The 13,506-nt window shown below is 40.2% G+C and overlaps 1 long non-coding RNA gene across 2 annotated transcripts in view; it reads right to left on the bottom strand.

Annotated features, from left to right (window-relative positions):
• Positions 1 to 13,506, bottom strand: part of ANKRD17-DT (ANKRD17 divergent transcript) — a 99,858-nt gene that overhangs the window by 54,255 nt on the left and 32,097 nt on the right. For both annotated transcript variants that reach the window (NR_187399.1, NR_187400.1), the window contains exon 2: positions 2,384 to 2,505. This is a non-coding gene — a long non-coding RNA (ANKRD17 divergent transcript). The remainder of the gene's footprint in view (positions 1 to 2,383; positions 2,506 to 13,506) is intronic.

The raw sequence follows: 13,506 nt of genomic DNA, 5'->3' as shown, positions 1-13,506 counted from the left end.
AAAAAAAAAAAAAAAAAAAAAAAAAATATATATATATATATATAACATTTTGGTTGCTTAAATTATTTTGCATCTCAGTGTTATCCCTAAACTAGGCCTGGTGCAACGGCTCACAGCTGTAATCCCAGCACTTTGAGAGGCCAAGGCGGGTGGATCACTTGTGGTCCGGAGTTCAAGACCAGCTTGGCCAACATTGTGAAATTTAGTTTCTACTAAAAATACAAAAATTAGCTGGGTGTGGTGGTGCGTGCCTGTAATCCCAGCTACTCGGGAGGCTGAGGCAGGAGAATCACTTGAAGGGAGCGGGGAACAGGGGGTGGAGGCTGCTGTGAGCGAAGACCATGCCATTGCACTCCAGCCTGGGCAACAGAGTGACTCTGTTTCGAAAAAAGTTATATATATATATATATATAAAATTATCCCCAAACTAAAATTAGACATATTGAAATATGTTAAAGATAATATTCTTGAAAGGGTGGTAAATTCTTTCTATTACTTGTATCACCTATCAAACTCTACATATAGAAAAATCGGGGGAGGGAGAGAAGAAGAGAGGGAACAAGAGATAATGAGAATAAAACAGTCATATAACTTTTTATAGCATATAAATGAAAACATAAATTGCATTTCTTGTATTATAGGTAAATGACTACTGTTTTCACTTCCAAGATAGAAGACGCTCTACCATTTCAGATAAAAAACTCTATGCTACGTTCTGATCAAACTTAAGACATTCTGCAGTGTAAGGTATGATTTTGTATATCTTCCGATCCTTGTATTCCCATGTTCTAAAAACAGGAATGTATAGATTTAGATATATGCTGCCCAGGGCAACAAAGAGAGTCTTTCAACTATGCAGGCAAGTCTTTTCCTGTTAGTCTGGTTTCTTCTATGTCACTAAAACTCATGCTTGTCTCTAAGTTGTCACAATGTGCATAAGTGGCATAGTTCATGTCTGCAGAAAAGGTAAGTGAGAAAAATACACGATACAATAACAAGAGACCCTAAACTCTAAAATAATTAAGGCACTTTGGGGTGAGAATTTAAAAAGGGAGATATTACTGCAATTTATCACTCTTTAGAGTAATAGGAGTAAAAATGGGGTTGAGCCTGGGAGGTGGAAAAAGAAGTGAAATATTATGATGTCTACAATATTATTGAGTCTAACTGTGACTATGTTTAAATAATCCCTGGAATTTACCCAGTGTAGCCAAATCACCTTGGAGGGCAATGATTTTTAAGTCTGGACCATCCTCAACATAGTTAAAGGTGGAATTTCACACCTAGAGATAAACAATATAGTTTTTCAGTAAGTTGTTTGGGCCAATAGATGGCTTTGTTTGCAACAAAAAGTACTGCAGTCATGCCCCTTGTAACATTTTGGTCAACAATGAACCTCATATATCATAGTGGTCCCATAAGATAATAATACTATATTTTTACTGTAGCTGTTCTATGTTTACATATGTTTAGATACACACAAATACTTACCACTGTGTTACAATTGCCTACAACATTCATGTACAGAAACATGCTGTACAGGTTTGTAGTCTTGAAGCTATAGGCTGTACCATATATCCTAGGTGTGTAGTAGGCTATACCACCTAAATTTGTGTAAGTACACTCTATTATGTTTGTACAATGACAAAAATCACATTTCTCAGAATGTCTCCTTGTTGTTAAGATGTATAACTGTATTTGCCTTGTGAACATGGAACCAGCAGAAAGCATTACAAGTTACTGATTGACATAGTTGATTTTCTTATTTTGGGTTTTACACAATCCCTAAAACCCTGATTGAAGAAAAGATTTTTAAAAGAGAAATCTGCCAAAAAAAAATTAAAAGAGTTTTGATAAAGCACCTGTAACTTAAATTCTCAATAAGACATGATTTGCCCCTAAATATCCTGTGGAAAGTAAGTCATTTTTTAAACATCTATTCTTGTTTTTAAAATATAAAATCTTAATGGTCATGCCATAAAATTATCTGAAAAAATATACACTTTTTGTTATTTATGAATATATGATCTTCAGTTAAAAAAAATTTCAGCCTTTAAAGTTTATGCATTAAAATAATATTTTTTCATAAATGTTTCATTGTGCCCTTTTCTACATATTCTATTTTCAAGTTGAAGGTTGAGATAGAAAGAGCTGTGTAGAAGTTATACGAACTGTTGCCAATCTAATCTTCTTTAAAAAATGTTATCAATGATGAATCCCTATTCCCAGCCACCTCCAGTCTAAACTACTTCTCAGGGTCCTAGAGTCTCCATATCTGGGCCTAACTTTCCTACTTTGTTTCCAATAATCCTGAGTGCTCCTCTTCTATCCTGGTTAGGTTTACCAAATTCATTCATTCAATAAATGTCTGTTAAATCCTTACCATGTGGCAAGCACGACAATGGAATGATGGTGCAGGCTCCAGAATCAGGCAGATCAGGTTAAAATATGAGTTTTATCCCTTACTGTGAGGTTCCTTAACCTGCATTTGCCTCTGTTTCTTATCTGTCAAAAAGGAACAATAAAGCATCATAGGTTTGTTGTAAAGATTAAAGGAAAGAATGCATGTCAAGTGCATAAAACAGTTTCTGGCACATGGCCCTCCACAAATGTTAGATGTTGCTATTAGGGAGCTTACACTGCAACAGGAAAACGAAAAATTAAAACAAAATCGGGTGCTATTCCAGGGGAAGTTCAGGATGTTATGAAAGGGACAAAAGAGGCAACTACATTATCAGAAACAGTTTCCTAGAAGAAGAAACCCTAAAATGTAAGTAGAAGTCAGCTTGGTGATAGGAGAAAGGAGCGGTCTACAGAAGAAGAGCTATGTGTGAAAAGGCCCAGGAATACATTAGCATGATAATTATGGGAAACAGAGAAATTCAATATAGCTGAGGAATGAGAGATAAGGCCAGAGAAAAGGAGCAGGATCCAGGTCAAAAGATTCTTTAAGAAATTTTTTTGTTTATTTATTTTAGAGACAGAGTCTCTGTCCCCCCAGGCTGGAATGCAGTGCCTCGATCATAGCGCACTGCAGCCTCAAACTCCTGGGCTCAAGGGATCCCCCACCTCAGACTCTTGAATAGCTGGGACTACAGGTGTGCACCACTCTGCTTGGCTAATGTTTTAAAAAATTTTTGTAGAGACAGGGTCTTATATGTTGCCCAGGCTGGTCTTAAACTCCTGTCCTCATGTGATCCTCCTGATCGCTTGAGGAGGCCTCAGCCTCCCAAAGCATTGGGGTCACAGGCATGAGCTACTGCGCCTGGCTTCTTTAAGGAATTTTCAACCTCATACCAGGAGAAATGAAAAGCAGTTTGAGGATTTTAAGAAGAAAAGCAATTGGATTCTGCTCAGGTTTGAAAATACGTGGCTGTTGGCCAGACGTGGTGGCTCATGCCTGTAATCCCAGCACTTTGGGAGGCCAAGGCAGGCAGATCACTTGAGGTCAAGAGTTCAAGACCAGCCTGGCCAACATGGTGAAACCCTGTCTCTACTAAAAATACAAAAATTAGCCAGGCATGGTGGCAGGCGCCTGTAATCCCAGCTACTTGGGTGACTGAGGCAGGAGGATTGCTTGAACCTGGGAGGCGGAGGTGCAATGATCCCAGATGGTGCCACTGCATTCCAGCCTGGGCAACAGAAGGAGACTCTGTCTCAAAAAAAAGAAGAAGAAGAAGAAAAAGAAAAGAAAAAGAACAGAAAAAAAAAAGAAAAGAAAAATATGTGGCTGCAGAAAAGAGATAGGATTATAGAAAAAAAAAAAAAAGAGAGAGAGAGAGAATAGAAACATTTCTTGTGTCCTACCATCATGATATGCCCTACCAGCCTTCAAAGGCCAGATAAATACCATAGTCTTTGTCAAGCTGTTCTTTACTGTCCAATCTTTTAGTTTAATTTTCTATTGATGCATAGGAGGTATATACTTTTTTCAGGATGCATGTGAAAATTTAATACATTCATATAATTTTTAAAGAGCAAATCAGTGTAATTAGAAGATGTATCATCTTAAATATGTCTTTTCTTTAGGCTAGAAACATTCAAATTGTTCTCTTCTAGCTATTTTAAAATATACAACAAATTATTTTAAACTGTCACCCTACTGATATATCAAACACTAGGTCTTATTTCTCCTATCAAATCGACCCATTATCAACCTCTCTCCTTCCTCTTCTCCTCACTACCCTTCCTAGCTTCTAGTAACCATCAATCTGTTCTCTATCTTTATGAGATCAACTTTTTTAGCTCCCAAATATGAGCCAGAACATGTGATATCTGTCTTTCTGTACTTGGCTTGTTTCACTTAATATGATTTCCAGTCTATTCATGTTGCTGCAAATGACAAGATTTCATTTTCTTATGGCTGAATAATATTCCATTGTGTGTGTATATATATATACACACACACACACACCCCATTTTCTTTATCCATTTATCCACTGAAGAACACTCAGGTTGAGTCCATAATTTGGGTATTGTGAACAGTGCTGCAATAAACATGGGAATGCAGGTATCTCTTGGATATATTGATTTCCTTTCTTTTGAGTATGTTACAGGATTCCTTTGTGCGCTTCACCAGCCAGAAATCTGCGGCTGCCGTGACCTCTGCCCAGGGACTGGCTCGGGCCTGCAGGCCTCACTCTGCCCCCTCAGCTCGCAGGCTGCATTTGGCTCACACATCCCACACCTGAACAGGAACTCCGCAATCAGCCTACAGCTGGACCGGGAGTGCCGTGGAAGGTTTTCACGTTGGTTGCCGGAGTCTGGCTGAGGGGAATCTGGTGGTGTCCAAAAGCTCAGCGATGCTGGCAACCACGGAGCCCCAAGGGGCATTACAGCTTTTGCCCGGGGAGTCCTGAGGTCTGAGCCCCCAAGAAATGTTGTAGGTTTTGTATTAACAGTTCGGCGAGCCAGCCAGGAGGGAATGGCGCCTAACTGCTTCGCTTCTTCACGCCTGCAGCTACTCAAACAGGGGCATGTTATAGCTCTCTCCACTGCCCGCAGCTTGGTGGATGGGGGCATGTAACAGCTCTCCCTGCAGCCCACAGCTAGGTGAATGGAGGCTAGTTATAGCTCTCCCCGCTGCCCACAGCTTGGAGGACAGGGGCGTGTTACAGCATATTCGTTTCTGCTGCCTGCAGTTCGGCAAACTAGGGTGTGTGATGCCCAGCAGTCTTTTCACACCCCTAGTTCGATGAGCAGGAGTGCGTGTTACAGCTCTTTTTGTACCCACCATTTGATGAGTTCCAGGTTCTTGTCCTGAGACCAAGAGGAATAAGGTAGGTGGACACCGGAGAGTGAGCAAGGCAGAGAATAATTTTATTGAGCAACAGAAAAGCTCTCAACACGAGCGGACCCAAAGTGGGTAGCCCTCTGTGTGAGAAGGGGCCCAAAGCGGGTAGCCATTTGTGAGACTGAGTCCAGGGTTTTTATGGGTTCAGAATGGGGGAGTGCATGCTGATTGATCCATGGGCAGGCCTGGAAAAAGCACCATTCCAGTTGGCCAAAAGGCATTGAGGACGTTTTCACTCTGGTGGTGGACTCTACCCAGACCTAGCAGCTCAGTTTTCAGGCTTCAGGTTGTCCTTGGCTTGAAGGTCAGGTTTCACCAGGGACCCATCCTTGTCTGCCTAGGAACTTTGCCTGTCTCCTGTTGCTATCAATTACATACCCAGTAGTAGACTTGCTGGATCATATAGTAGTTCTATTTTTAGTTTCTTGAGGAACCTCTATACAGATTTCCATAGTGATTATACTAATTTGCTTTCCCACCAACAGTGTACAAGGATTCCCCTTTTTGCACATCCTCACCAGCATCTGCTATTCCCTGTCATTTGATAAAATGCATTCTAACTGGAATGAGATATCTCATTGTGGTTTTGATTTGCATTTCTCTGATGATTAGTGATGTTCAGCATTTTTTATATACTGTTGGCTATTAGTATATCTTCTTTTGAGAAATATCTCTTAGAAACTTTTGCCCATTTTTAAATCAGATTTTTTTTCTGTTGAGTTGTTTGAGCTCCTTATACATTCTGGTTATTAATCCCTTGTCAGGTGGATAGTTTGTAAATATTTTCTCCCATTCTGTGGGTCGTTTCTTTACTTTGTTGACTGTTTCCTTTGCTGTGCAGAAGTGTTTTAGCTTAATGTGACCCCATGTATTTTTGCTTTGGTTGCCTATGCTTTTGATATCTTACACAAAAAAATTTTTTATCCAGACCAATCTCCTGGAGCATTTCTCCAATGTTTTTTGAATAGAAGGTTCATAGTCTCAAGTCTTGAATTTAAGTCTTTAATTCATTTTGATTTTTGTATATGTTGGAGTGTGTCTAGTTTCATTCCTCTGCATATGGTTATCCAGTTTTCCCAACACCATTTATTGAAGTAACTGTCTGTTCTCTGTCATATGTTCTTGCAACCTCTTTGGAAAATGCATTGGCTGTAAATTCATGGATTGATATCCGGGTTGTCTATTACATTCCATTGGCCTGTGTGTCTGTTTTTATACCAATGCCATGATGATTTGGTTACTATAGCTTTGTAGTACTATTAATTTTTCTGAGACAGGGTCTTGCTCTGTTGCCCAAGCTAAAAAGGAGTGGCATGATCATAGTTCACTACAGCCTTGAACTCCTGGGCTCAAGCAATTCTCTTGCCTCAGCCTCATGAGTAGCTGGGACTATAGATACATGCCACAGTGCCTGGCTAATTTTTCTTGTATTTCATTTTTTGTAGTGATGGGATCTTGCTATATTTCCCAGGCTGTTCTAGAACTGCTGGCCTCAAGCAATCCTCCTGCCTCAACCTCCTATAGTGTTGGGATTACAGGCATGAGCTGCCACACCTAGTCAGATGAGGACTTATTATAGCTTCAATCTCATTACTTGTTATTGGTTGTTGAAGTTTTCTATTTCTTCATAGCTCAATCTTAGTAAGTTGGTTGTATGCAGAAATTTATCCATTTATTCTAGGTTTTCCAATTTGTTGGCACCTAGTTGCTCATAATAGTCTCTAATGATTCTTTGTATTTCCGTGATATCAGTTGTTATGTCTCCTTTTTCATTTCTGATTTTGTATCTTCTCTTTTTTCAGTCTGACTAAAGGCTTGTCAATTTTATCTATCTTTTCAGAAAAACAACTTTTTGATTCATTGATCTTCTGTATTGTTTTTTAGTCTCACTTTCATTTATTTCTGCCTGATCATTATTCTTTTCTTCTATTAATTTTGGGTTTGGTTTTCTCTTGCTTTTCTAGTTCCTTGAAGTGCGTTGTTTTGTTGTTTATTTGAAGTCTTTCTACCTTTTTGATATAGGTGTTTATTGCCATAAACTTCCCTCTTAGTACGACTTTTGCTGTATCCCATAGATTTTAGTATAATATAATCCTATTTTGTTACAATAAATTTTTTAGCTGCTTCTTAATTTCTTCATTGGTCCAGTGGTCATTCAGGAGCATGTTGTTTAATTTCCATGTGTTTGTGTAGTTTCCAAGGGTCCTCTTATTATCGATTTCAAGTTTTATTTCATTCTGATCAGAAAAGATATCTGATATGATTTCCACTTTTTTAAGTTTGTTGAGATTTGTTTTGTGGATGAAGATATAATCTATTTTGGAGAATGTTCCATTACTCATGAAAAGAATGTGTATTTTGTAGCAGTTGGGTAAAATAGTCTGTAAATGTCAATTAGGTGTTTAGAGTCTAGTGTGTAGTTTAACTCTAATGTTTTTGTTGATTTTCTTTTTTTTTATTTGAAGATATTTATGCAGAGCTAAATATGAGTGATCATAGCCATGACACAGCCCTCAAGAGGTCCCGAGAACATGTGCCTAAGCTGGTCAGGGCACAGCTTGGTTTTATACATTTTAAGGAGACACGAGACTTCAATCAAATACATTTAAGAAATATGCTGGTTTGGTTCAGAAAAGTGGGAACACTCGAAGGGTGGGGGCTTCCAGCTTATAGGCAGATTTAAAAATTTTCTGGTTAACAATTGGTTGAGTTTATCTAAAGACCTGGGATCAATAGAAAGAAATGTCTGGGTTAAGATAAGGGGTTGTAGAGACCGAAGTTTAATTATGCAGATGAGGCCTCCAGGTAGCAGGCTTCAGAGAGAATAGATTGTAAATGATTCTTATCAGACTTAAAGATCTGTGTTGATGTTAATGCTGGAGAGGTATAATGAGGTATGTCTGACCCCCACTTCCCATGATGGCCTGAAACAGTCTCTCAGGGTAAATTTTTTTTTTTTTTTTGAGACGGAGTTTCATTCTTGTTGTCCATGTTGGACTGCAATGGTGAGATCTCAGCTCACTGCAACCTCTGCCTCCCGGGTTCAGGCAATTCTCCTGTCTCAGCCTCCCGAGTAGCTGGGATTACAGGCATGCTCCACCATGACCGGCTAGTTTTGTATTTTTAGTAGAAACAGTGTTTCTCCATGTTGGTCAGGCTGGTCTCAAACTCCCAAGCTCAGGTGATCCGCCCACCTTGGCCTCCCAAAGTGCGGGGATTACAGGCGTGAGCCACCGCGCCCGGCCTCTCAGGTTAACTTTTAAAAGAGTACCCTTGCCAAGGAGAAAATCCATTCAGATGGTTGAGGGTCCTTAGAATTTAATTTTTGGTTTACATTTTCCCCCTTCTGGCCAAGATTTGCCAGAGGCAACATCAAAGGCCAGCAAATCTTTATTTTGACCCATAGTGGCACCAGGGTGGCATGGCTGCCTGCCCCAGGTCCATCTTGGCCCTCAGTGGGACTCCCTACGGCCAAGGGCCTTAAGAGTCAAAAGACTTATAGCCAATTAATTGTTCTAGGCCAGATAGCAATGGATGTGGACAGGCATACAATACCTCTTAAAATTATTATTTTAAGTAAAAAGCCAACAAACAAAAACCAAAAGGAAAAGTTACAAAACTAATTTATTTTTAACTTCTACGTATTGAGCTACTGTAAGCTTGTTTTAGTTACAGACTTATAGTAATTTGCTATACCAAACATAAGCATACAAAAATTAGCCAGGCGTTGTGGCGCATGCCTGTAATCCCAGCTATTTGCGAGACTTGAGGCATGAGAATTGCTTGAACCCGAGAGGCAGAGGTTGCAGTGAGGCAAGATCAGCCACTGCACTCCAGCCTGGGTGACAGAGTGAGACTCTGTCTCAAAACAAAAAACAAAAAAAACAAACAAAATAAGCATTGTTCTGAAAAAAAAATTTTTAGATAGATAGATAGACAGATCTTAGCAAGCTCATAACTGAGAGCATTATACCCAGGAGGCTTTGTTATAAGATATCTTTATCCCATCAATAAATATTTTCATTTAATTTTACAGGAAGCAGAAAACTCTTTACGGTTGGGGTAGATGCAAAAGGGACACATAATAGCTTAGTCTTGTTTTACCAGCCTTCTTGATTTGGAGGGTCTTACCTTGACCTAATTCTATCCCTCAAAACTGGCCCTTAGATTCTCATGTGCCCACCTCTTCCATGACAGTCCCTGGGCCTAGAGGGAGAGTGCTTGTATAGATTTAGGAGCAGAGCACTCGCAGCAAAAAACAGATCTGGGCCAGTGGGATGCCAAATGAGGGAGATTAGCATCTCTGGTCTTCAGAATACCATAATTTTGGTTTCCTTGGAAGTAAAACAAGACTAGATAAATAACATTTATATTTTGACAATCAAAAGAGTAATTGTGTGTTAGAACTGAAAAAGAAACCTATTTCAGTAGGGTACCAACTAAAAATATGAAGAAAAATTATAAACTGGGGTACTCTGTAGAGGATTATTGTAGCCAAGAAATAATGATTTGATCTGCACTCAAAAAAACAAAAGTTAGGGCTGAAATCTATTATCAAGTGTTACACTTTTCCTCTGAAACAATTTCTCTTTCTCTAGCCTTCCTTTTCTATTAAAGAGAAATTATAGTAAGACCAATTTGTGTGCAAAACAAGTTTTAGGCTTATTATACTTGGCCTGATTATTTGCATAAAATGCAGCAATAATTAATTGGCCATATAGGCTTCTTTTAAGTTAGCTTTGCTGGAACTTTACCTAAAAATGTACTATTTTAGTTAAAGTCTTGGTAAAGGAATCAGTGTCTCTAATTGTTCTGTTTAAAAGACTCTTATTGAACTTATGCAAATAACTATATTGTCATAAAATCACAATCGAATTTTGGAGAACTCAGAGAGAAAGGTAAATTTGCTACAAAAACATACTTCACCCAAACAACTCAAAGGAAAAAGATTTTTCTTGACCCTTCTTTAACCAGAACAACAGCTTTCAAGCAAGATGTTTGTTTACCTTGGAAATGCCATTCACAAGCCAAACAGCTCATGGGAGCTGTCTATCAGGCACTGTAGAATCTAGTAGCTCCTCACACAGAAATTTTCCTAGGGAAGAAAGAGGCTCCCTGCTTATGAGTATCTCCTCCTTGTATCTCTAGGTAGCAAGATCCTATGTAAACCATTTTTATTTTATCATAGAACTCCTTGGGGCACCATTATTACTATTAGCATAGGGGTAGCTTTAGTTAACATTCTATAGCAGTGCAGTAAATGCCCCTCAAGTGGAAATTTTCTAGTCCAGTCATTGTCATTGGGAAGTACTACTCATAGTTTTTTGCCCTCAGCCCCAGTAAATGCTCCACAAAGGGGTATGAAGTGGAGCTTCGTACTCCAGCTTCTACCCTATACTTTGTGGGCTCAGGTGATCTTACTAGGTCCTATTTGGCATGTCTGATTAACATTTCTCTTCAGTTTTATAGTACTAGATAGGGGAAACAACCCCCTGTTAGATATAATACCCATTTTCATAAGACATTTAGGTAAAGGGGTTACAACTACCTTACATAAAGCCTGTTTAAACATCTTAAATTTCATAATATTTTTAATGTGCATTATTTTTATGTTCTGGTCACAGGAAATTATTTCTTCTCCCCAGGCCATTTTACCTTTTCTGTTGGAAAAGGGTTTGGGTTCCCAGCAGGGAGTTGCATCTGTAATACCCATGAGGGATAGAAAATTTGATAAGCCTTCTGAAAGACCCATGTAAAAGGGGCTCCTTTCACCCCAAAATTTACCATGACCTGGATAATAGGTATATTTGGTGGGAGGATATCCCAGTTATTATAAAGCCAGTCCCACATGGCTCACATATGAAGCATATTAACTGCTTCATCTGGTGTGCTCCACTTGGTATTTTAGAGGGAGAGTTGGGGAATTCCCTTTTCAGGGCAAACAGACCTGACAGTGACATTTATCTGGTCCACTAGGCTGATGGTTCTCTCAGGAATAACCTCCTGTGCATTTGGATCACATATACTCATCAGTGATTATTCAACAGTAAGCTGTGGCTCCTGCCTCAACCCAAATAAGCCCTTACATTCTGTAGTATTTAAAATTAAGAATTCTGTTCTTAAAGTGGTTATTTTTACAATCCACTACATAGATATTTTAAGAAACTGATAATACCAATCTACAAAATGGAAAAATTTCTTTACATTATTCCCTCTGGCTTTAATAGTTATTTGGTTTGGAGGGAGGTTCCAAGATGGCTGAACAGGAACAGCCCTAGTCTACAGCTCCCAGTGTGAGTAACGCAGAAGTTGGTGATTTCTGGATTTCCAACTGAGGTACCGGGTTCATCTCACTGGGGCTTGTCAGACAGTGAGTGCGGCCCATGGAGCATGAGCCAAAGCAGGGCAGGGCATTACCTCACCCAGGAAGCACAAGAGGTCGGGGAATTCACTTTCCTAGCCAAGGGAAGCTGTAACAGACGGTACCTGGAAAATTGGGACACTCCCACCCTAATACAGTGCTTTTCCAATGGTCATAGCAAATGGCACACCAGGAGATTATATCCCGCGCCTGGCTCGGAGGGGCCCACGCCCATGGAGCCTCGCTCACTGCTAGCACAGCAGTCTGAGATCAAACTGTGAGGTGGGAGTGAGGCTGTGGGAGGGGCATCTGCCATTGCTGAGGCTTGAGTAGGTAAACAAAGCAGCCAGGAAGCTCGAACTGGGCGGAGCCCACCACAGCTCAAGGAGGCCTGCCTGCATCTCTAGACTCCACCTCTGGGGGCAGGGCATAGCTGAACAAAAGGCAGCAGAAACTTCTGCAGACTTACATGTCCCTGTCTGACAGCTTTGAAGAGAGTAGTGGTTCTCCCAGCATGGAGTTTGAGATCTGAGAATGGACAGACTGCTTCCTCAAGTGGGTCCCTGACCCCCAAGTAGACTAACTGGGAGGCACCTGCCAGTAGGGGCCGATTGACACCTCATATGGCCAGGTGCCCCTCTGAGACGAAGCTTCCAGAGGAAGGATCAGGCAGCAACATTTGCTGTTCTGCAATAATTGCTGTTCTGCAGCTGCCACTGGTGATACCCAGGCAAACATGGTCTGCAGTGGACCTCCAGCAAACTCCAACAGACCTGCAGCTGAGGGTCCTGACTGTTAGAAGGAAAACTAACAAACAGAAAGGACATCCACATCAAAACCCCATCTGTACGTCACCATCATCAAAGACCAAAGGTAGATAAAACCACGAAGATGGGGAGAAACCAGAGCAGAAAAGGTGAAAATTCTAAAAATCAGAGCTCCTCTCCTCCTCCAAAGGAACACAGCTCCTCGCCAGCAATGGAACAAAGCTGGATGGAGAATGACTTTGACAAGTTAAGAGAAGAAGGCTTCAGATGATCGGTAATAAGAAACTTCTCTGAACTAAAGGAGGATGTTCGAATCTATTGCAAAGAAGCTAAAAACTTTGAAAAAAGATTAGATGAATGGCTAACTAGAATAAACAGCATAGAGAAAACCTTAAATGATGTGATGGAGCTGAAAACCATGGCACGAGAACTACGTGATGCATGCACAAGCTTCAGTAGCCAATTTGATCAAGTGGAAGAAAGGGTATCAATGATTGAAGATCAAATGAATGAAATGAAGCGAGAAGAGAAGATTAGAGAAAAAAGAGTAAAAAGAAACGAACAAAGCCTCTAAGAAATATGGGACTACGTGAAAAGACCAAATCTACGTGTGATTGGTGTACCTGAAAGTGACAGGGAAAATGGAACCAAGTTGGAAAACACACTTCAGGATATTATCCAGGAGAATGTCCCCAACCTAGCAAGGCAGGCCACCATTTAAATTCAGGAAATACAGAGAGCACCACAAAGATACCCCTCAAGAATGGCAACTCCAAGACGCATAATTGCCAGATTCACCAAAGTTGAAATGAAGGAAAAAATGTTAAGGGCAGCCAGAGAGAAAGGTTGGGTTACCCACAAAGGGGAGTCCATCAGACTAACAGCTGATGTCTCGGCAGAAACTCTATAAGCCAGAAGAGAGTGGGGGCCAATATTCAACATTCTTAAAAAAAAGAATTTTCAACCCAGAATTTCATATCCAGCCAAATTAAGCTTCATAAGTGAAGGAGAAATAAAATCCTTTACAGACAAGCAAATGCTGAGAGATTTTGTTACCACCAGGCCTGCCTTCCAAGAGCTCTGGA

Source organism: Homo sapiens, chromosome 4 (assembly GCF_000001405.40).
Source record: "Homo sapiens chromosome 4, GRCh38.p14 Primary Assembly".
In the NCBI taxonomy this organism is placed as follows: domain Eukaryota; kingdom Metazoa; phylum Chordata; class Mammalia; order Primates; family Hominidae; genus Homo; species Homo sapiens.
Note: the sequence above shows the minus strand (reverse complement) of the source record. Positions and strands in the feature narration are given on the sequence as shown.